The 24,235-nt window shown below is 47.5% G+C and overlaps 1 protein-coding gene across 20 annotated transcripts in view, besides 2 other annotated features; it reads left to right on the top strand.

Annotated features, from left to right (window-relative positions):
- PDPR (pyruvate dehydrogenase phosphatase regulatory subunit) overlaps window positions 1,904-24,235 on the top strand; it is a 49,802-nt gene continuing 27,470 nt past the window's right edge. For 6 of the 20 annotated variants that reach the window (XR_007064891.1, XM_017023388.3, XM_005256015.3 and 3 more), the window contains exons 1-8: window positions 2,610-2,718; window positions 8,739-8,997; window positions 15,538-15,671; window positions 17,062-17,143; window positions 17,237-17,400; window positions 18,701-18,822; window positions 19,580-19,697; window positions 20,429-20,578. Coding sequence is in view for 18 of the 20 variants with exons in the window: in XM_017023388.3 (XP_016878877.1) it covers window positions 8,771-8,997; window positions 15,538-15,671; window positions 17,062-17,143; window positions 17,237-17,400; window positions 18,701-18,822; window positions 19,580-19,697; window positions 20,429-20,578 (997 nt within the window). In the remaining 2 variants the exon portion in view is untranslated. Of the gene's footprint in view, window positions 2,719-3,098; window positions 5,354-5,764; window positions 7,374-8,738; window positions 8,998-15,537; window positions 15,672-17,061; window positions 17,144-17,236; window positions 17,401-18,700; window positions 18,823-19,579; window positions 19,698-20,428; window positions 20,579-24,235 lie in introns of those variants that run through there. The other 14 variants (NM_017990.5, XM_047434303.1, XM_047434304.1 and 11 more) reach the window with 11 other exon arrangements.
- Window positions 2,574-2,623: an enhancer, noted in NCBI's record as "active region_11049". NCBI's record gives its function as "activates an Ori minimal core promoter by ATAC-STARR-seq in GM12878 lymphoblastoid cells {active_cell/tissue: GM12878}" and the evidence as "EXISTENCE:reporter gene assay evidence [ECO:0000049][PMID:35858748]".
- Window positions 3,144-4,086: an enhancer, noted in NCBI's record as "H3K27ac-H3K4me1 hESC enhancer chr16:70148769-70149711 (GRCh37/hg19 assembly coordinates)". NCBI's record gives its function as "activates a minimal SCP1, AML or CMV promoter by ChIP-STARR-seq in naive H9 embryonic stem cells {active_cell/tissue: H9 hESC(naive)}" and the evidence as "EXISTENCE:reporter gene assay evidence [ECO:0000049][PMID:30033119]".

A 24,235-nucleotide genomic window follows, 5' to 3' on the forward strand; every position in this document is an offset into this window, starting at 1 on the left:
AACCCCACCTCTACCAAAAAATACAAAAGTTAGCTGGGGACGGTGGCACGCGCCTGAGGTCTCAGCTATTCGGGAGGCTGAGGTGGGAGAATCGCTAGAGCCCAGGAAGTTAAGACTGCAGTGAGCCGTGATTGCACCACTGTGCTCCAGCCTGGGTGACAGGGTGAGAGCTAATCTCAAAAAATAAAAATAGGCTGGACGCGGTGGCTCACGCCTGTAATTCCAGCACTTTGGGAGGCCTAGGTGGGCAGATCACGAGGTCAGGAGTTTGAGACCAGCCTGGCCAACATAGCGAAACCCTGTCTCTAATAAAAATACAAAAATTAGCCCAGCGTGGTGGCGCACGCCTGTACAGTCCCAGCTACTGGGGAGGCTGAGGTAGGAGAATCCCCTGAACCTGGGAGGCAGAGGTTGCAGTGAACCGAGACCACACCATTGCACTCCAGCCTGGGCAACAGAGTGAGCCTCCATCTAAAAAATAATAATAAAATAAAAACACTCAATCCCCTAGAAAAAATAGTGCATCAGTGGTTATGAGAACCTACTAAGGACAAGACCCATCTTTGACAATGAAAGGGGCCTTAGGACTTACTTCCCTTTTTTTTTTTTTTTTGAGACAGTCTCGCTCTGTCGCCTAGGCTAGAGTGCAGTGACACAATCTTGGCTCACTGCAACCTCCGCCTCCTGGGTTTAAGCAATTCTCCTGTCCCAGCCTCCCAAAGTAGCTGGGATTACAGGCATGTGCCACCACGCCCAGCTAATTTTTGTATTTTTTAGTAGAGATGGGGTTTCACCATATTGATCAGGCTGGTCTCGAACTTCTGACCTCACGTGATCCAACTGCCTTGGCCTCCCAAAGTGCTGGCATTACAGGCATGAGCCACCGCACCCAGCCTGACTTAGCATTTTGGAGTGGAGGCCGATCATGGTGATGGAGAAGGAAATCAGGGACAGATCTACACCATTTGTTTGCTATTTACTGCACGTAAACAGAATGAAATCAACACATTAAGTATTTCACTTGATTTCATCCACCATCTCCTGCAGACAACCAGGTTTCTCCCAAATTCATGTGCCTGGAAATGGCTTGAACCAAATGGTTCATGAGGAAAACCTGTGATATTTTTCATGAAATCGCCACATCTGGGCATCAGGAAAGCCTTCCCCGAGAATGTCTCAAATTGGTCAGCCGTTTTCTCTTTTTTTAGACAGGTAGGTGTCCCCAAGCATTCAATCCTAGCTAAAATATGGAAGTATTTATCTAGCACAGGAGCCTATGGCATAGTTTCAGTCCACTGTCTGGCAGACCTCATCTGGGCTGTCTTTGTGTGATTTGACTGGCCAGTAAATGGGGTATAAACTATGTAGGCTGTGGCCTGGCCTTGTGACAGAGGGGTCCCTGGAACTTGACTGCCACTCCCTAAGAGCAGAAACCGCCTCTTTCTTGTACATTGCTGGATCCCATCATCCTGCACAGTGCCTGGCTACAGGTGGCCAGCAATAAAACACAAGATTGGGGCAGGCACAGTGGCTCACGCCTGTAATCCCAGGACTTTGGGAGGCTGAGATGGAAGGATCACTTGAGGCCAGGAGTTCAGGCCCAGCCTAGGCAACATAGTGAGCCTATCTCTACAAAAAAAAAATTTTTTTTAAATTAATAAAACACAAGATTGGTTTGTGTGGTGAGACAGTATTGAATCCAACAAACGGGAACTGGATAGTGTGGCCCAAGATGCAATGGTGGCTGCAGCATGAGACCCTTATGCATATAATATTCAGTGGAAGAGGTGCCAGGCACTGTTCTGGGTGCTGAGAATAAAGCTATGCATAAGACTAAGGTTCTGTCGACAGAGATCGTGTCACACCAGTGGAAAAGACAGTCATCAAACTTATATCCTTGAGTCAGTGATGAGTTCTAGAAGGAAAGAAAAGGCTGATGTGACAGTGAGGAAGGGATGAGTGGAGACTTCTCTGAGACTTCAGTGATTCCTCTTCCTCTGAGCTGAGCCAAGCTGAGAAGCTGAGAAGAGTAAGATAGGGCCGGGAACTCAGGTCCGTTAGTCCGTCCTCCGAGGTGGGGCGGGCCAGCAGAATGGATTTCCGATCTACTCTGTGAGAGCCTCGCCCAAGAAAGCCCAGAGCCACTTCCAAGATCCGCGCTCCCACGGCGATGAGAAGCGTTTTCCCCCGGGACTGCTTGGCTTAGGACTGGGGACCCACTGGCTTTGGAGTAAGCCCTGGCACGGGCCTCGAGGGAAGAAAGAACTCCCGCGCTCCCCACACTCCACAGGGCCTGCGATCATCTCAGATGTTCCGGTTCCACGTGCAGAAACCCCGCCGGTCCGAGGCCCCGGTTCTAAAACGGCCCTAAGAGTCAAGGCTTCCACAGCTCGCCTCTGAGGGTGGCAAAGAGGCCGCGGGGGCGGTGCCTCGCGAGACCCAAACAAGCCCACGTGGCAGGGGCGGGGCTCCGCGAAGGCGTCACGGCGCGCTCGTGCGCTGCTGAGGTCACGCGCCGGCAGTACCCTTGCCCGGGGGCCGTAAAGCGCGGAAGGTCGCGGTCTCGGCTTCCCCGGAACTTTTTGCTCGCTTCGCCCCGCCCCCTTCCCATCCCCGAACCCCGCTTTCCGGCCCGCGGCGACCCCAGGCAACTGTTGTGGCTGCCGCATTGCTCCCGCCGGGCTGTAGCTGAGCGCGGAGCCCGTGGGGACCGGTGAGGTAAGGAGATAGCTTCGGGGCAACTCTGGCCTCCCCGTCCGCGCGGGCCTAAGCGCCCCGGGACCCCTGGGTTCCCCTCTTTCTCCTTTGGTTTCGCCCGGGGGTGGTCCCCGCTAGCTCACGCTTCCAGTGGGTTCCGCCTGGCCTCTCGCGAAGTCGCGTCCGGGCGCCAGTACTCGTCCCCGTAAGGTTGTCCGCTCGTGCCTTGGCTTGTGTTCTCGGCTACCCCTGGGCGTGCGCACCGCTCCTCCAGGAGCCTGCACTTCAGCCCCGATGCCAGGGCGGCCGGGGTGACCTCGGGCTCCCCCGTCTCGGGCTTGCACACCCCTGCGGCGCAGAGCCAACTCCAGCTTGTCTAGCCCGGTCCTCCATCCCTGCAGATGGAACTGTTTTCCCGCGTTGAGACGTGCGGTCCGCTTGTGCTTTTAGAACTAAAGACTGCTGCAGAGTCCGGAGGAAGAAGTCACCTAGAAAAATCTGGGACAGGGCAGTAAGCTTCCTTCTTAATGTTTGACCTTTGGGGGCCGATGTGTGATACCTCGGATTTGAATCAAGAATCTCCAAGCCCATTTTCCGCATGCATGTAAACGTGATGTACCGGGATGGGGTCTGGTGGTGGAGGAGGAGCCAGCCTGACGGATAAGCTTTTCCAGTGGCAGGGACTTGTGTTAATTTCTTTTTTCTTTTTTTTTCTTTTTTCCGAGACAGAGTTTCACTCTGTCGCCCAGGCGGGAGTGCAGTGGCGCGATCTCGGCTCACTGCAACCTCTGCCTCCTGGGTTCAAGCAATTCTCCTGCCTCAGCCTCCCAAGTAGCTGGGAATACAGGTGTGCGCCACCACGCCCGGCTAATTTTTGTGTTTTTAGTAGAGACGGGGTTTCACTATGTTGGCCAGGCTGGTCTCGAACTCCTGACCTCGTGATTCTCCCGCCTCAGCCTCCCAAAGTGCTGGGATTACAGGCGTGAGCCACTGCGCTCGGCCAACTTGTGTTAATTTCTTAAACTTGCGTGATCACCTGGTGTACTTGTTGAAAAATACAGCTCCCTGGAGTGGCAGGATCAGAATCTGCCGAGGTGGACCGTGGGAATCTGTCATTTTTAAACAAGTGTCCCAGGTGGTTCTTTTGCTGAGGCAAGTGTGGGAAATGTTGTGTGAACCCACGCTCATCCAGTCTTCCTTGTGACCGGCAGTCCACTGTGCGCAACGCTGCAGCCATACAGAGGGACAACTCGAAGTTAGAACTAGCACCTTGGTCTTGTTGGAATAAGCAGATCTGAGTAGAGCCAGCTGCAGTCTTATGGTTGTTTAGCAGAAGTTATTCTTCTTAGCAGAGAATATTATACGGTCATTTTCCAGAACTGTAAAAACTCTATCATTTGTTTTAAACCAGATGATGTGCTTCATTTCTGTCTTTGACGTCTTCAGTTTCTTCTCCCCTGGCTTTACCTCCTTTGTTATCAGTTTGTGCTTTGGTTTTGCTGCCAACCTTATAGGTTTAGGTTTGGCGGCAAAGGCACTAGACTCTGGTGCCTTCTTTTCCTTCGTTGTCTTAAGCCCTTCTTTTCCTCTGCCCTCATGCCCTCACCACTTCACTCTTTTGAAGGTCATAATGAACACAAGGTCAGAGATCCCTTTTTTGGCGCCAAGCACCCTGGGCTTTTTTGAGATGGAGTCTCACTGTGTCACCCAGGCAGTGGCGCGAATCTGCCCACTGCAGCCTCCATCTCCCTGGTTGAAGCAATTTTCCTGTCTCAGCCTCCTGAGTAGCTGGGACTACAGGTGCAAGCCACGACACCTGGCTAATTTTTCTGTTTTTAGTAGAGACGGGGTTTCACCATGCTGATCAGGCTGGTCTCAAACTCCTGACCTCAAATAATCCACCCACCTTGGCCTCCCAAAGTGCTAGGATTACAGGTGTGAGCCCCTGCGCCTGGCCTTTCTTTGTTTTGTTTTGTTTAAGACAGAGTCTCACTGTGTCACCCAGGCAGGAGTGCAGTAGCATAATCTCGGCTCACTGCAACCTCTGTCTCCCAGGCTCAAGCGATCCTCCTACCTCAGGAGTTCAGGACCAGCCTGGGCAACATAGTGAGCCCCTCTCTACAAAAAAAAAAAAAAAATTAAAAAAATTAATAAAACACAAGATTGGCCTGTGTGGTGAGAGAGTATTGAATCCAACAAACGGGAACTGGTTAGTGAGGCCCAAGATGCAATGGTGGCCGCACCATGAGTACCTGGGACCACAGGTGCGTGCCACCACACCCAGCTAATTTTTTGTATCTTTGGTAGAGACGGGGTTTCACCATGTTTGCCAGGCTGGTCTCCAACTTCCGACCTCAAATGATCTACCCGCCTCGGCCTCCCAAAGTGCTGAGATAACAGGCGTGAGACATGGCGCCCGGCCTAAAGTTTTTTTTTTAATTCCACCTTAAAACTCATCTGTTACTGTGTTTGTTCTGCCACCTTTGCAATTCCCTTTCTCTGTTAGGGGAATGTGCTTAATGGTTCAGTCCTCACAGCTGTCCTTTCCTTACCATCTGCTTTTATTTGAAAGGTAGCGTGGAGTCATGATTAAATAGCCGGCCACTAATGCCAAATTGGCAGGGTTCTGCTACTCAACAGTTTGGTAGGACCTTGGGTGAGTCACTTCCACTTATCTGTGCCTGTTTCCTCAAGTGTAGAATAGAAATGCTAGTATCTACCTCATAAGGTTGTGAGGATTAAATTAGTTATATATATAGGCAGTATCTGGTGCATTGTAACTACTTATAAAAATATTAGCTTTAAAAATTATTTGCCGGTCACAGTGGCTCATGCCTGTAATCCCAGCACTTTGGGAGGCCAAGGCAGGCGGATCACGAGGTCGGGAGATTGAGACCATCCTGGCTAACATGGTGAAACCCCGTCTCTCCTAAAAATTAAAAAAAAAAATTAGCCAGGCATGGTGGTGGGTGCCTGTAGTCCCAGCTACTCAGGAGGCTGAGGCAGGAGAATGGCATCAACCCAGGAGGCAGAGCTTGCAGTGAGCTGAGATCGCACCACTGCACTCCAGCCTGGGCGACAGAGCGAGACTCCATCTCAAAAAAAATAAATAAGATGTCAAAGAGGCTGTGACCTGAGGAGATTACCTGTATTTGGGGGAGAGGTGGCAGGAACCATGCCAGGAGGGAACAGCATGCACAGAACCTGGAGCCGAATAGAACACTCACGCCTCACCTGATATGTTTGACGAATTACAGGTTGTTCAGTCTGGTTTGGTCAGAGTGTGAGGAAAGGAGAAATGAGACCACAGATAAGAACCAGAGTGTGAAGGATCTTGCACTTGATATGAAAAGAGTTTTGCCTTTTTCCTGAGGGCATCAGAAAGTCATTAAGGTGGGTGTGGTGGTTCACGCCTATAATCCCAGCACTTTGGGAGGCCAAGGCCAGTGGATCACCTGAGGTCAGGAGTTCAAGACCAGCCTAATCAACATGGTGAAACCCTGTCTGTACTAAAAATACAAAAAGTAACTGGGCGTGGTGGCGCGTGCTTGTAGTTCCAGCTGTTCAGGAGGCCGAGGCAGGAGAATTGCTTGAACCTGGGATGCAGAGGTTGCAGTGAGCCGAGATCACACCGCTGCACTCCCAGCTGGGCGACAGAGTGAGACTCTGTCTCAAAAAAAAAAAAAAAATTGCTGAGGAAAAGCAGCAAAAAGGGAGGGAAACGTTGCAGGTACATGAAAGAGAGATAGCAGTTGATGGAGCTAGGGTCAAGAGAAGAGAGGAGGAAGTGGGATCCAGGGCCCTTGGGGGAGATTAACTTTCCAGTGGATAAAAGAAGGAAGGAAGAGATGGTTGCAGATGCAAGTGGGTCTATAGGAAGGGTTTCAGGGAATGAGATGAGCCAGGTTATCTGCTTAGAATGAGGGAAGAAAGGAGGTGAAATTGAAGGTTGAGAGAGGAATAGCTGGGCTCTGAACCTGAATACAGACAGAGGTCTGCCTGTGGCTTAACATGTGCTAGCCTAAGCCACCAAGGAGCAGGACAGTTTTCAAGTATAACCGAGTGGTCACGGGTCAGAAGCCAGGAGGTTGACAGTGAGGTCAATGGGACGGGGCTGGCCATTTGGCAGCAGCAGTTCCCCAGGAGAGCTGTGTTGCCATTGGGACAGAGGGTAGAGAGAATGTCAGCAAAGGGGTGGGTGTTTACCTTTGGGAAAGGTATTCTGGAGGGTGCAGTAGAGGGGCTTGAAGGAGAGGAAAGCAAAGAGAGCTTGGGCCACGGGAAATAAATTGGTCACGTGGAGATGAGATTATGGAAAGACTAGCCGGGTAGAGAAGCTTCTGTTTTGAGATGGTGCTTAACAGGGACCAGGGATGAGAGGCATGGTGGCAACCACAAGGTGGCCAAGACAATTTGTCTCCAGTTGGATGGGATGTCTGCCTGGACACAGTCTGTGCTTGCATTGGTTGCAATTCTGAGAGTCATCTCTGATGGATGGACATAGATACCTTGGCCTTGGACAATTTGTGCTGACTGTGGAGCATCTGTGGGTCCTGTGGCTGGCAGTGGAGGCGGTAAGGAGATGACTAGCAGTGAGCTACCCTAAGGCCCCCTTGTCTACCGCCTCTCGTCTCAAAGTCCTCATCCTCCTGTACACATGACTGCATGGACAGCCAGTAGGTGCTTTCTTCTTCAGTTTCTTGAAACTTGAACAGTCATCTGTTTTGCTGATAGATTAAGTTTGTTAAAACCCTGCCTTGTCCAAGGGCAGTGGTTCATGCCTGTAATCTCAACACTTTGGGAGACCAAGGTGGGAGGATCACTTGAGCCTAGGAAGTCAACTCTGTTTTTCTTATAATTCTACCATCCGCTCTCCACCATGGAGCCAGACTGACCTTTGGAAAACATCCCCCAACCCCCCACCGCCAAAAAAAACAAAGAAAAGAAAAACATCCCAGATCATTTCATTCCCCTGCTAGTGATACTCCCGCATGAGTGATTTTCCTTTGTACTTTGAATAAAATTCCAACTCCTGCTGATGGCACCCAAGGGCTGTGTGTAACTGGCTTCCGCCTGCCTCTCCAGCATTGTCTTAGATCATCTCCCCACACTCCCCGTGTCGTGTACATGCCGGCCTCCTTTTTGTTCTTGGTCTGTCTTACCTCAGGGCTTTTGCACATGCTCGTCTCAGTGTCTGCCAAATGTATAGCTCGTTCCTTATCCTTCAGGTCTGTTTCCAAATGTCACTTCCTTGGAGGCTGTTTCTGACCATCCTGTTTTAAATATGCCCCTAGTTACTCTATCATGTTAGCTTTATTTACTGTTTTATTTGTATGTTTATTTGTATATTGATTGGTGTTCTCCTCATTCACACACGCAAACTCTCAAATGTAAATTTCATAAAGACAGGGACTTCCCCATTCTTGTTCACTGCTAGCAGAATATCTGAAACTCAGAATGCCCTCAAATATTTCTTTTTTTGTTTTTTTTTTGTTTGTTTGTTTGTTTTTTTTTTGAGACGGAGTCTCGCTCTGTCGCCCAGGCTGGAGTGCGGTGGCGCGATCTCTGCTCGCTGCAGCCTCCGCCTCCCGGGTTCAAGCAATTCTCCTGCCTCAGCCTCCTGAGTAGCTGGGATTACAGGCACCTGCCACCATGCCCAGCTAATTTTTGTGTTTTTAGTAGAGACAGGGTTTCACCATGTTGGTAAGACTGGTCTCGAACCCCTGACCTCGTTATCCACTCGCCGCGGCCTCCCAAAGTGCTGGGATTACAGGTGTGAGCCACTGCGCCCAGCCTAAGTTTTTGAATTTTTAGTAGAGACGGGGTTTCACTGTGTTAGCCAGGATGGTCTCGATCTCCTGACCTCGTGATCCGCCCGCCTTGGCCTCCCAGAGTGCTGGGATTACAGGTGTGAGGCACCATGCCCAGCCACCCTCAAATATTTGCTGAATGAATGGCTATCGTTCTTTGTCAAATCCCTTTCTCATTAATCCCATGCACTGAGTAGAATGGCATGAAATATGTTTGGTTTCTCTGTCTAGTTTGAGTTCCTGAGATCTAGTTGGTGAGAGACATGATGTTCTACCGGTTGCTGTCGATTGTTGGAAGACAAAGAGCCAGCCCAGGATGGCAGAACTGGTCCTCTGCAAGAAACAGCACGTCAGCTGCCGAGGCGCGTTCCATGGCCCTGCCCACCCAGGCACAGGTGGTCATCTGTGGAGGTGGAATCACGGGCACTTCTGTGGCCTATCACCTCTCCAAAATGGGGTGGAAGGATATTGTCCTTTTGGAGCAGGGCAGGTAAGGATCAGACTGCATTTGGCTCATGGCTGTGCTGCACTAATCGTATAAGATTCCCTCTCCTTTCAGAGATACTGCCCCACCAGTAGCTAATCTAAATGTTGCTAAGTAGCATGAGAAGAAGCAAGGTGGAATCTCCTGAATTTTGTTTAAGGATGACTAATAATGCTCATGTTCTCTGGTTTTTAGAGAGTTGGCAAATTTCGTTTTCCTTTTTTTTTTTTTTTTTTTTTTTTTTGGTGGTGGTGTTTTGGTAGACAGGATCTCGCTTTCTTACCCAGGCTGAGCTTGAATTCCTGGCCTCAAGCAGTCCTCCCACCTTGGCCTCCCAAAGTGCTGGGACTACAGGCATGACCCACTGTACCCAGCAACATTTTAGACTTTGACAAAAATTTGCGTTTGTAAATAATGTGGATTGCATTTAAGCAAAGTAGACAACTGCTTGTGTTTGCTTAATTGCTAGGTTCTTAATATTGTTCTCATTCCCCAAGAGAAATATGCTCTATAGGCTTAGTTTCTCTGTGCTCGCCTTCTTTTAGGTCAAGTATTTTCTGCTTTATTGGCTTGTAAGCTAAGTCCCTTTATATTAATTTGTAATAGTTACAGAGATTACAGAATGGATTCTTATAATCCATCATTAATTAATATTATACCACTATACAAGTAATGTTAGATTCATACAACAATATTGGCCGGGCATGGTGGCTCACACTTGTAATCCCAGCACTCTGGGAGGCTGAGGTGGGCAGATCACCTCAGGTCAGGAGTTCTAGACCAGCCTGGCCAACATGGTGAAAACCTGTCTCTGCTAAACATACAAAAATTAGCTGGGCGTGGTGGTGTGCACCTGTAATCCCAGCTACTCAGCAGGCTGAGGCAGGAGAATCGCTTGAATCCGTGAGGCGGAGGTGGCAGTGAGCAGAGATCATGCCACTGCACGCTAGCCTGGGTGACAGAGCGAGACTGTCTCAAAAAAAAAAAAAAAGAATACAGGCCTTTGACTCTGATAATTCTCAACCTGTGTTTAGCTAATGTTTTCTTATTCCCTTTTTTTTTTTTTTTTAAGATGGGGTCTTGCTGTGTCACCCAAGCTGGAGTGCAGTCACACTATCACAGCTGACTGTAGCCTTGACCTCGTGGATTCAAGCAGTCCTTCTGCCATAGCCTTCCAAGTAGCTGGGACTACTGACATGCACCACCACATCTGGCTGGTTGTTGTATTTTTCTGTAGAGATGGGATCTCCCTGTGTTGCCTAGGCTGTTTTCTTTTCTTTCTTTTTTTTTTGAAATGGAGTCTGGCTCTGTCACCCAGGCTGGAGTGCAGTGGTGCAATTTCTGCTCACTGCAACCTCCGCCTCCTGGGTTCAAGCAATTCTCCTGCCTCAGCCTCCCGAGTTGCTGGGATTACAGGCACCCACCACCATGCCCGGCTAATTTCTGTTTTTTTAGTAGAGACAGGATTTCACCGTGTTAGCCAGGCTGGTCTTGGACTCCTGACCTCCAGTGATCTACCCACCTTGGCCTCCCAAAGTACTGGGATTACAGGCGCGAGCCACCACACCTGGCCTAGGCTGTTGTCTTGTGATCAGACTTGGGTTAGAGACTTTTATAACCATCACTGTATTGAGATACAATTTGCATACCATGCCACTCATCCTTGTTAAGTGCTGAAATCTGTTTACAGAGTTGTGCATCCATCATCATAACCAGGTCATACATTTTTGGCAGTAAGACCACAGAAATTAGGCTGGACTCTCAGCAGTGCACCACATCAGGAGGTGTATGGCTGTCCTGTCTCACTTCTGGTGGTGATAAACCTGGTCACTCAGTTACATTGGTGTCCTCCAAGCATCTCTAGCACAGAGACCCTGTTTTCTCCCCTTGTAATGGGCCAGTGCCCTTTGAGGAGAGATGGATTCTGAGATTATGCCAATATCCTGTTCATATGAGACCTCCACCTACCGGGCTTAGCATCCATTGACAACTGTTGCCTGAGTCAGCCACCACCGTGATGGTTGACAAATGGTGATTTTTTGATCATACTTCTACATTTATTATAGTTGGCATATTACTGTCAGGAAGAGATTTCCTTCTCCCCCATTTATTTACTCAGTTATATATCTGTATACACACATACACACACACACACCAGTTTAGACTCATGGATTTCTATTTTATGCAGTGGATAGTTTTTTTTTTGAGACAGAGTCTTGCTTTGTCACCCAGGCTGGAGTGCAGTGACGTGATCTCGGCTCACTGCAACCTGTGCCTCCCGGATTCCAGTGATTCTCCTGCCCCAGGCTCCCAAGTAGCTGGGATTAATAGTTGCATGCCACCACACCTGGCTAATTCTTGTATTTTTAGTATAGATGGGGTTTCACCATGTTGGCCAGGCAGGTCTTGAACTCCTGACCTCAGCTGATCCACCCGCCTCAGCCTCCCAAAGTGCTGGGATTACAGGCATGAGCCACCGTGCCCGGCCCGCAGTGGATACTTTTAAGAGCAAAAGTGGGTTTTGTTTTTGTTAATGTTTTTGAGACAGAGTCTCACGCTGTCACTCAGGCTGGAGTGCAGTGGTTCAATCTCAGCTCACTACAACCTCTGCCTCCTGGGCTCAAGTGATCCTCCCACCACAGCCTCCTGAGTAGCTGGGACTACAGGCATGCACTACCATGCCTGGCTAATTTTTTGTTTTTTTGGTAGAGACGTGATTTCACCTTGTTGTCCAGGCTGGCCTCAAACTCCTGGGCTCAAGTGATCCGCCCACCTCAACCTCCCAAAGTACTGGGGTTACAGGTGTGGGCCGCCACACTTGGCCTCATAATGCTTCCTTGATGTCAAAGTCTTTCTCCTATTTTTTGAAATCCTTTTAAATTTAATTATCAGGTATTTCCACAAAAAGTGATAAACTAATCGCAGTGTAAATGTTTCTAAGTGGGAGACCCTAGGGAGGTTCATTTTTGGTTTAATTTGTTGCTTCAAGATTATATAATACCTTAGAATTGATATAAGGCAGACTATTTAAACCTCACACTTAAAAATAATTACGCCAGCCAGGCACGATCGCTCACACCTGTAATCCCAGGACTTTGGGAGGCCAAGGTGAGTGGATCACCGGAGATCAGGAGTTCGAGACCAGCTTGGCCAACATGGTGAAACGCCGTCTCTACTAAAAAATACAGAAATTAACTGGGAGTGGTTATTCGCGTCTGTTAATCTCAGCTACTCGGGAGGCTGAGGTAGGAAAATCACTTGAATCCAGGAGGCGGAGGATGCAGTGAGCCAAGATCGCACCATTGCACCCCAGCCTGGGCGACAGAGCAAGACTCAGTCTCAAAAAAAAAAAAAAAAATTATGCCTCGGCCAAGTGCAGTGGCTCATGCCTGTTATCCCACGACTTTGGGAGGCCAAGGTGGGTGGATCACCTGAGGTCGGGAGTTCAAGACCAGCCTGCCCAACATGGGGAAACCCCGTCTCTACTAAAAATGCAAAAATTAGCTGGGCGTGGTGGCATAAGCCTGTAATTGTAGCTACTCAGGAGGCTGAGGCAGGAGAATTGCTTGAACCTGGGAGGCAGAGATTGCAGTGAGCCAAGTTTGTGCCACTGCCCTCCAGCCTGGGCAACAGAGTGAGACTGTCTCAAAAAATAATAGTTATTATTATGCCTTATCCGTGGCTTGTGAAATGGTTTTATACTGCCCTTTATGTATAATTATTCCTCTTGTCCATCTTCACTATTGTTCTCATAGATCAATGGGTCTTAAATCTGTCTGCACATTAGAATCAGCTGGGGAGCTTTTAACAATTACCAGTGCCCAGACCTCTCCCCAGAACAAACCAGAATCTCTAGGGGTGAGGCCAGGCATCAATATTTTTAAAAGCTTCCCCGGGGACTCTAATGTACCTCCAAGGGCGAGAGCCACTGTCAAAGCTGCTCAAGGAGTGCTATCCCAGCAGAGACGTCACCAGAGCTATAGGTGCTGACCACCAGCCAGTTAATGGAACTCCCACCTGGGGTGGAGCTCCACACAGTTACAAAGATGATAGAAAAATCTCTTTAGGGAGCTGACAATCTTATGTGGAAAATATAATTATTAGAGTAAATACAGTAAACTCAAGTGACAGGCATGCTGACACAGATGTTAGTTTATTTACTGAGTGATAAATAATTTGGGGAAAATGACCTTAGAACCCCCCACCTGCTTTCTTGACATATGGGTCCCTTGCAAAACTGGGTCTTTGGGCCCTAGCATTACTGTAGCCTTTATATTCTGTTGCTACCACAAATTAGAGAACATTTTTTTCAATGTAAAGTTTATGTACTTTTGAATAGGCAATGTATTTATATGATTCAAAATTGAAAATATGTAAAAGAAGCTGGGTGCAGTGGCTTATGCCGGTAATCCCAGCACTTTGGGAGGCTGAGGCGGGTGGATCATCTAAGGTCAGGAATTCGAAACCAGCCTGGCCAACATGGCAAAACCCCATCTCTACTAAAAATACAAATTTAGCCAGGCATGGTGGTGCACACCTGTAATCCTAGCTACTTGGGAGGTTGAGGCAAGAGAATTGCTTGAACCTGGGAGGTGGAGGTTGCGGTGAGCCGAGATTGTGCCATTGCACTCCAATCTGAGTGACGAGCAAAACTCCGTCTCTAAAAAAACAAACAAACAAAAAAACAAAAATTAGCTGGGCATGGTGACACACACCTGTAATCCCTGCTACTCGGGAGACTGAGGCAGGAGAATAGCTTGAACCCAGGAGGCAGAGGTTGCAGTAAGCCGAGATTGTGCCATTGCACTCCAGCCTGGGTGACAAGGGAAACTGCGTCTCAAAAAAAAAAAAAAAAAAAAAAGTATATATATATATATGTAAAAGAGTATACAGGAAAAAGACTCCCCAATGTTCTTTCCTTTTCTTTCTTTTTTTTTTTAAGATGGAGTCTTGCTCTGTCACCCAGGCTGTAGTGCAGTGGTGCAGCCTCAGCTCCTGCAACCTCTGCCTCCTGGGTTCAGGCGATCCTCCTGCCTCAGCCTTCTGAATAGCTGGGATTACAGACGCCTGCCACCATGCCCGGCTGATTTTTGTATTTTTAGTAGAGATGGGGTTTCGCCATGTTGGCCAGGCTGGTCTCGAACGCCTGACCTCAAGTGATCTGCCTGCCTCAGCCTCCCAAAGTGCTGGGATTATAGATGTGAACCACTGCACCCAGCCCTCAATCTTCACTTCTAACAAAAAGCTTTCTCTCTGGAGGGAAGTTAAGTTCTAGTTATATTCTCTACTTCTATAAGCAATTATGTGTTGGTAGGTTTGTGTATATGTGTATGGATATTCATTTATTATATTTTTTCTCTTTTTTATATAAGTGGGAGCATACCTTACACACTGTTCTTCACCTTGCTTTTTCATTATGATTGTTCCATTTTGGTACATAAAGACCTTTTCATTCTTTTTTATAGCTGCATAATATTCCATTGTATAGATGAATTCCAAAATTTTATTTTATTTTAGAGATGGGGTCTTGCTCTATTGCTTAGTCTGAAGTGTAGTGGCACAATGCTAGCTCACTGCAGCCGCAAACTTTTGGGATCAAGGGATCTTCTTGCCTCAGCTTCCCAAGTAGCCTGGCTAACTTTTATCTTTATTTTTTTTACTTTTTTTTGAGGCGGAGTCTCGCTCTGTCACCCAGGCTGGAACGCCGTGGCACAGTCTTGACTCACTGCAAGCTCCACCTCCCGGGTTCATGCCATTCTCCTTCCTCAGCCTCCCGAGTAGCTGGGACTACAGGCGCCTGCCACAATGCCTGGCTAATTTTTTGTATTTTTTGTAGAGACGGGGTTTCACTGTGTTAGCCAAGATGGTTTCGATCTCCTGACCTTGTGATCCGCCCACCTCAGCCTCCCAAAGTGCTGGGATTACAGGCGTGAGCCACCGCACTCAGCCTTTATTTTTATTTGTTTATTTATTTTTATTTTTATCTTTTTTTGGTAGAGACACAGTCTGGCTATGTTGCCCAGGCCAGTCTTGAACTCCTGGCCTCCAGTGAACCTGCTACCTCAGCCTGTCAAAGTGCTGGGATTACAGGCATGAGCCACTGTGCCTGGCCTAAACTATCCAGAATTTTAAATCTGTCCCATGTCATTGAACATTTTTCTCACCCTGTTGCCCAAGCTGGAGTGCAGAGATGTGATCACAGCTCACTGCAACCTCTACCTTTTGAACTCAAGCGCTCCTCTGGCCTTAGCCTCCCAAGTAGCTGGGACTGCAGGCATGTGCTACCATGCCTGGCTAATTTTGTTGTTGTTGTTGGTAGAGATGGGTTCTCCCTGTGTTGACCAGGCTGGTCGTAAACCCCTGTCCTCAAGCAGTCCTCAGTCCTCCTACCTTGGCCTCCTAAAGTGCTGGGATTATAAGTGTGAGCCACTGTGCCCAGCTTGTTTCCATCTTTTGGTGTTAGAAACAGTATTAAATGAGAAACCCTGACCTCGTATTCACAGATGACGTCAATCTACCTAATAGCATTTTGCATCCATCCTGCAGGCTGGCTGCTGGCTCTACCAGGTTCTGTGCTGGCATCCTGAGCACTGCCAGGCACTTGACCATTGAGCAGAAGATGGCAGACTACTCAAACAAACTCTACTATCAGTTAGAGCAAGAAACAGGGATCCAAACAGGTAAGCAAGTGTCTTCCATTTATTGCTTTGCCTGTCCCTGAGATTGTTATATTCATTTCTGTATTTGGTCCTCTGCCAGGTGTGCCTGCTGCTTTGGTAATTAAAACTTGGGTTGGCCGGGCATGGTGGCTCACGCCTGTAATCCCAGCACTTTGGGAGGCCGAGGCAGGCGGATCACGAGGTCAGGAGATCGAGACCATCCTGGCTAACATGGTGAAACCCCGTCTCTACTAAGAAATTAAGAAAATATGTAAATTATCCTTACTGTACTTCTTTTGAAAATAAGATACCAAATTGCTTCAACTCTTTCTTCATAAGAATTAAGAGTCATTGCATTTTAGGAGAATTGTCATTGGCCCAAGTGTAATTATGGTTCTATATCAGGTGTGTTGATTACAGACAACAGGAATTGGCTCTGGCCAACTTGGAGCTTGTTGGGAGGAGCTTGGGCCTGTGGAGTTGGCAGGAGGCTGCCAGCTGGAGGCAGCCTGGAAGCCAGGATGTGGGGACTGCACCGCAGGCAGTCCCTCAGCGAGAACAGGAGCAGCCTGGCGTGGCTGATGCTGCCCTTGAGATGGTGACCTCTAGTCATTCACCTACGTGCTCAAGACTGACTCTTCCAGGAGGGTCTGATTGGATAAGCTTAGGTCACATGCCCACTGTTTGGCTATACTGGGGAAGAAGAAGGGAGAATCCGACCCTTGGTAGCTGATGTTATTGTGAGTGGCCTTTGCCAGGGATTACACTCCCCCAAGACTAGGAGGAGAAAGGGTGAAACTGCCTAAAAGGTGGGAAGAATAGGGATGGTCGAATCCCTGCCCAAAACTGTCTTTTTTTTTTTTCTTTTTTTTAAAGACAAAGTCTCACTCTGTTACCCAGGCTAGAGTGCAGTGGTGCAATTTTGACCCACTGCAACCTCCACCTCCTGGGTTCAAGCAATTCTCCTGCCTCAGCCTTCCCGGTAGCTGGGATTACAGGCGTGCACCACCACACCTGGCTAATTTTTATATTTTTAGTAGAGACAGGGTTTCACCATGCTGGCCAGGCTGGTCTCAAACTACTGACCTCAGATGATCCGCCCCCCTCAGCCTCCCAAAGTGCTGCGATTACAAGCATGAGCCACTACACCTGGCCTAGAATCTCATTTGATCCTCACAACCTCACAAAACTGTGAGCTGAGAATGTTTGGTCAGGGCATGGAGCCTTAGTGCATCTGAAGTTCTTAAAATTTTGCATAGAAGCTCAGAGAAGCTGATTTACCTGCCCAAGGATATTGAGTGGCAGTCCCAGGATTCATCACAGGTCTTCTAACCTATAATCTAGTGGATTTTCCACTCTCCTGTCCTACATTTGGTCTGATCTGTCTCATTTGGGCTCATTTTTCTTACAGGTTACACAAGGACAGGCTCAATCTTTCTGGCCCAAACTCAGGACCGACTGATCTCCCTGAAGCGCATCAACGCAGGGCTGAAGTACGTAAGAGTCTAGAAGCGTGTCCTGACTTTACCACACTGGCCTCTGCCAAAGAGCCTGTGAATGTCATTGTCCCTTGTGTTCTGTGGCAGTGTTATAGGTATCCCTTCTGAGATCATCTCCCCCAAGAAAGTGGCCGAGCTTCACCATCTCCTCAACGTGCACGACCTGGTGGGGGCCATGCATGTTCCCGAGGATGCAGTGGTGTCTTCCGCTGACGTGGCTCTTGCCCTGGCAAGTGCTGCCTCCCAAAATGGTGAGCAGGTTTTTGCATTTTCTTAAGATAGGTTAGCAGGGAAGACATTACCTAAGGAAGTGTCTCACAATAGGAAGTGACACCAACTCAAGTTTGGAAAGATTATCCTCTTTGGGGTACTCAGCCTCCATTTTGAACACTTATAATTTTATTTATCTGTTAATGAGTGTTTTCCCTCAGGGCCACATTTTTAAAGTTCTAAAGAACTGCTTTTAGTGCTAATTAATGCCCCTTTTTTGGAGACAGAGCTTCACTCTTTTCGCCCAGGCTGGAGTGCAATGGCACAATCTTGGCTCACTGCAACCTTCGCCTCCTGGGTTCATGTGATCCTCCTGCTTCAGCCTCCCGAGTAGGTGGGACTACAGGCGTGCCCCACTACACCCGGCTAATTTTTTTGTGTATTTTTAGTAGAGACGGGGTTTCGCCATATTGGCCAGGCTGGTCTTGAACTCCTGACCTCAGATGATCCACCTGCCTCGGCCTCCCTAAGTGCTGGGATTACAGGCGTGAGCCACTGTGCCCTGCCAATTAATGCCCTTTGGACTTAAGGTAATATTTTCCGCCACAGGACTTGAGAAGCTCAAGGTGAAAACACACCTTGGAAGTTTAATCCACACCTGAAATCATGAGCCCAGTTGCATTGAATGAGGGGAAGACTTAACTAGCGTCCAGGGTATCATATCCATGGTATGAGCAGGTTAGCACTTAAGGCGCACTATTTACATCCTCTCCTCTCTGCTCCATAGTTTATGATTCCAGGAATTTAATTATTGTGTTCCAAAGTCTGTTTTTAAACTGAGTTGCTATTTTCAATCTTGAACAAGGCCCATTTACATAGTCTCAGGATGTGATTCTAGGGTTTTGTGTTTTTTTTAAATGAAAGCATTGAGCCGGGCGTGGTGTCTCATGCCTGTAATCCCAGCACTTTGGGAGGCCAAGGCAGGCGGATCACCTGAGGCCAGGAGTTCAAGACCAGGCTGACCAACATGGTAAAACCCCATCTCTATTAAAAATACTAAAATTAGCCGGGCATGGTGGTGCATGCCTGTAATCCCAGCTACTTGAGAGGCTGAGGCAGGAGAATTGCTTGAACCCAGGAGGCAGAGAGCGAGCCAAGATCGCACGACTACACTCCACCCTTGGCGACAAAGCAAGACTCCATCTCAAAAATAAAATAAAAAAATAAATTAAAGCATTGACTTGACTTTGTCAGTGTTTCTTCTGGGTGGAGAACCTGCTGCACATGCCTTCATTCTGGAACATCAGATGAAACACCAACTCTTTCTTTACCTTGGAACAGGTGTTCAGATCTATGACCGGACATCTGTTCTTCATGTAATGGTCAAAAAAGGTCAAGTTACTGGAGTGGAGACCGATAAAGGACAGATTGAATGCCAGTATTTTGTCAACTGTGCTGGCCAGGTAGGTCAGCACCAACACTGCTGTTCTTATTTAACGTTTGTCTCCAAGATTTTTTTGGTGTAGAGAAGTAAGATTAGTATTGTGATTGGTTATACAGATATCAGTAACTACGCTGTTTCTTGTAGGGTATTCTAAATCAGAAACCTACACTTAGTCTGCAAATAGAAGCCTGTGTGACCTTGTCCTTCCTCCACACTGGGTTGATGGGTGCTATCCTGGTCAGGAAGGCCAGCAAATGGTCAGGCATTGACGTGAATCCTTGGCACTGGGTCTTGATGTTACATTTCATTCTATAACCTAGCAAATAACATATTAGGCTATTTTATTGTGTCAGGAATGTGGACACTAATTTCCAGGACACTGCTTCTTTTAAAGCAGATTGGCTCTTGCCTTCCATGCTATGATCCCGAAGTGAACTAAGAAATACTTTTGCCATGTGAAGTTCATTTAGTGATTGCTATTTGGGGTTTGTAGCTGAGCCCAGGCGTTTTATCAAAAGGACCTCCTTTGGTTCCCATGAGCTCCTTTGACTAGCTGGTAAATATCTCTTCCTTTGATCTCAAAGTAATTTTTATGTCTTAAAAAATGTAGTATTGCTCCCCATCCAAATAATTGAACTAAAGCAGGCTGACTTCCCACACCTGACACTGTAGCAAGAGCACACATAAGCCACTTGGAATTAATCTCAAGAGGCTGAACTTGCTCATTTTTATTTCTGTTCCTCTTCCCACCCACAAATCAACCTGTCCATTTGTAGTGGGCATACGAGCTGGGTCTGTCCAACGAGGAGCCGGTTAGTATCCCGCTACATGCCTGCGAACACTTCTACCTCCTGACTCGCCCCTTGGAGACCCCTCTGCAGAGCAGCACACCAAGTGAGGACTTGCACTTTTTTAAAAAATCTTGTTTCTTTGCCAGTATCCTGTCCTCTGAAAAGGAAAACTTTCTGCTAAGGACAGCCTGTGTCTGAAAGAGTCTTTCATTTCTAGAGCATGTTACAGGGAGGTGGACCCAATTCTGACTTTTCTTTATTAACTCTTTATGAAAGGATGGCCAAAATTTCCATTAATACATTTTTTTGTTTTTGTTTGTTTTGCAAGCTAATTTTAGTCCTAAACAGAGGTCATTGAGAATATTTGGACTGTCTTGTTGACTTTTTAACTTGAATGCTATGGATAGTAGAAATGTCATAGGTAAACAATAGACTTAGGTGGGTTCGTGGTTCCAAGCACTGTAGGAGAGGGTTCTCACATCCTTTTGACGGTCTTCATGCCTAGAATGGGCTCTGCAACCCCCCTCTCTGTTAAACTTTCGCTTGGCACAGTGGGAGTTACGTGGTTTGCTTGTGGGGACTAGTCAAAGCTTCTAGGTAAGGGATAATCAGAGAAACAGTCTCCACTGAAAGGCTAAATGGGAGGATCTTCCCCCGTGACCTCAAAAGGTATTTTAAAGCTAATGAATGCCTGTGTTCATTGAATGTTCTTTCATTAATAAAGCCATTAATGGGTGTTTTTGTTTGGTTGTTCTGTCCATTTAGAAAGCTGACTTGCCTCTAAACCCTTGTTTTTTCTTCCACTCCCCACTCCATGTCATTTCTCCACCTCAGCTATTGTGGATGCTGATGGAAGAATTTATATTCGGAACTGGCAGGGTGGCATCCTGTCTGGGGGCTTTGAGAAGAACCCGAAACCAATTTTCACTGAGGGCAAGAACCAGCTGGAGATTCAGAATCTACAGGAAGACTGGGATCACTTTGGTATGTGAACTGCATTATAACCGTAGTGCCTTATATTTGTTTAAGATGTTATATTTTTCAAAGTATTTTGAAGAATAGTTCCTTGTTTAATGTTTATAACATCGCCATGAGGTACAACAGTGGTTACAGAGGGTGAGTTTGCCTGGTCTGAGGATGGAGTTACTAGGTAGCAGATTCAGGGGACTAAAATCTTAGTTAATAGACATTTGCCTTATTCTTTTTTAATTTTATTCTTAGTTTTACTTTTTTTTTTTTATTTCTTGAGACGGAGCCTTGCTCCGTGCTCAGACTGGAGTGCAGTTGCACAATTATAGCTCACTGCAGCCCCGAACTCCTGGTCTCATAGCTTTTTTTTTTTCTTCTTTTTGGTAGAGACATGGTCTCGCCATGTTGCCCAGGTTGATCTCGAACTCCAAGGCTCAAGTGATCCCTTTCACCTTGGCCTCCCAAAGTGCTAAGATTACAGATGTGAGCCACTGTACCTAGCCCTTTGTGTGTGTTTAGTCATCTCTATCATTTTGTGTGTGTGTGAGATGGCGTCTTGCCCTGTCACCTAGGCTGGAGTGCAGTGGCATGATCATAGCTCACTGTAGCCTCAAATTCGTGAGCTCAAGCAATCCTGCCACATCAGCCTCCCAAGTAGCTGGGATTACAGGTGCTTGCCACCATGCCTAGCTAATGTTTAAATTTTTTGTTGAGATGGGGTCTCGCTGTGTTGCCCAGGCTGGTCTCGAACTCTTGGGCTCAGTCAATCCTGCCTCAGCTTCCCAAAGTGCTGTGATTACGGGCATGAGCCATGATACCCAGCTGCTTTTTTTTTTTTTTTTTTTTTGAGATGAAGTCTCGCTCTGTTGCCCAGGCTGGAGTGCAGTGGTGTGATCTCGGCTCACTGCAACCTCTGCCTCCCCGGTTCAAGTGATTCTCCTGCCTCAGCCTCCAGAGTAGGTGGTAGGTGGGATTACAAGCGCCTGCCACCACTCCCGACTAATTTTTGTGTTTTTAGTAGAGACAGGGTTTCACCATGTTGATCAGGCTGGTCTTGAACTCCTGACCTCAGGTGATCCGCCTGCCTCAGCCTCCCAAAGTGCTGGGATTACAGGCATGAGCCACTGCGTCTGGCCTTTTTTTTTTTTTGAGATAAGAGTCTTGCTCTGTCGCCCAGACTGGAGTGCAGTGGCACAATCTCGGCTCACTCCAACCTCCACCTCCTAGGTTCAAGTGATTCTCATGCCTCAGCCTCCTGAGTAGCTGGGATTACAGGCATGCATCAACATGTCCAGCTAGTTTATGTATTTTTAGTAGAGACAGGATTTTACCACGTTGGCCAGGCTGGTCTTGAAATCCTGGCCTCAAGTGATCTGCCTGCCTTGGTCTCCCAAAGTGCTGGGAGTAAAGGTGTGAGCCACTGTGCCCAGCTCTGCTTCTTTTTTTTGTTTTTTTGTTTTTTTTTGAGATGGAGTTTCACTCTTGTTGCCCAGGCTCAAGTGCAATGGTGCGATCTCGGCTCACCGCAACGTCTGCCTCCCGGGTTCAAGTGATTCTCCTGCCTCAGCCTCCTGAGTAGCTGGGATTACAGACATGCGCCACCACGCCTGGCTAATTTTGTATTTTTAGTAGAGACAGGGTTTCTCCATGTTGGTCAGGCTGGTTTCGAACTCCTGACCTCAGGAGATCTGCCCGCCTTGGCCTCCCAAAGTGCTGGGATTACAGACGTGAGCCACCATGCCCGGCCCCTGCTTATTCTTTATTCACCTAAAATTATTGCTCAGATTTTAGGTTTTAGGAGGAGACTTCTTTCAGTAGGACTTCATATAAAATTGAAGAGTTCTTTAGAAAACAGAATTGTTTTGTTTTGTTTTGTTTTTCAGAATTGTTTTGTTAGTGTAGTATTTTATTAAATTTTAAAATAATTTTATTTATTTATGTATCCATTCATTCATTTTGAGATGGAGTCTTGCTCTGTTGCCCAGGCTGGAGTGCAGTGGTGCGATCTTAGCTCACTGCATCCTCCGCCTCCTGGATTCAAGCAATTCTCCTGCCTCAGCCTCCCAGGTAGCTGGAATTACAGGCGCCCACCACAACGCAGAGCCAGTTTTTGTGTTTTTAGTAGAGATGGGGTTTCACTATTTGGCCAGGCTGGTCTTGAACTCCTGACCTCAAGCGATCCACCCGCCTCGGCCTCCCAAAGTGCTGGGATTACCGGTATGAGCCACCGCACCTGGCCTTTAAGGCCTGTAATCCCAGCACTTTGGGAGGCCAAGGCGGGCAGATCGCCTGAGGTCAGGAGTTCAAGACCAGCCTGGCCAACATGGCAAAAACCCGTCTAAATATAAAAATTAGCTGGATGTGGTGGCGCACACCTGTAACGCCAGCTACGTGGGAGGCTGAGGCAGGAGAATTGCTGGAACCCGGGAGGCAGAGGCTGCAGTGGGCTGAGATCGCACCACTGCACTCCAGCCTGGGTGACAGAGCGAGACTCCATCTCAAAAAAAAAAAAAATAATAATAATAATATAGTTACCTAGTTCCAAATTTAAAAAGATGAAAGAGTCTCTAATGAAGAATTTCCCTCTGACCCTTGATGGGCTTTCTTTTTTTAATAAATTCTTACGGAAAATTTCAAACTTTTAAAAGTGGATAGAAGCTGGGCACAGTGGCTTACACCTGTAATTCCATCATTTTGGGAGGCCAAGATGGGAGGATCACTGGAGCCCAGGAAGTGAAGACCAGCCTGGGCAACATGGCGAGACTGGAGACTATGTGTCTACTAAACAAACCTGGCGAGAGTAGTATGATGAGCCCCCATGTACCCATTATCCAGCTCTGGTCTGGTTTCATCTTTTTCTGCTGTCCACTGGATTATGTCCTGATGGTAGATTTCCTTTAAAGCAGGGTGAAAGTCTGTCTTTTGCAGCTATTCCAATGCAGAACATTGCCTTTTTTTTTTTTTTTCCTGAGATGGAGTTTCACTCTATTGCCCAGGCTGGAGTGCAGTGTCACGATCTCTGCTCACTTCAACCTCCGCCTCTCAGATTCAAGCGATTTTTCTGCCTCAGCCTCCCGAGTAGCTGGGGTTACAGGCTTCCACCATCACGACTGGCTAATTTTTGTATTTTTAGTAGAGACGAGGCTTCGCCATTTTGGCCATAATGCTCTTGAACTCCTGACCTCAGGTGATCCGCCCACCTTGGCCTCCCAAAGTGCCGGGGTTACAAATGCAAGCCACCATGCCCAGCTCAGAACATCACCTTTTATTAAAATCTCTGTGGCCGCCATTTAAGAGCTTTTCCACTCACACTGGTCCCTTCAAGATTATTATCTGTAGATACGTTTTACTTGCTGTTCTCTGCTGCTTTCCTTTCTAACCAATATCTTTTTTCCTCAGTCTTTATACCAAGTATTTTGCAGCTATATCCTGTAATTCTACCAAGGTTTCTGCTTTGTGATAAATGGCCCAGTTGGCTCGTCTTTAAAAAAATCTCTTCCAGCCGGACGCAGTGGTTCACACCTATAATCCTAGCACTTTGGGAGGCCGAGGCAGGCAGATCACTTGAGGTCAAGAGTTCGAAACTAGTGTGGCCATCATGGTGAAACCCCATCTCTACTAAAAATACAAAAAATTAGCTGGGCATGGTGGTGCACGCCTGTAATCCGAGCT

Source organism: Homo sapiens, chromosome 16 (genome assembly GCF_000001405.40).
Source record: "Homo sapiens chromosome 16, GRCh38.p14 Primary Assembly".
Lineage (NCBI taxonomy): Eukaryota > Metazoa > Chordata > Mammalia > Primates > Hominidae > Homo > Homo sapiens.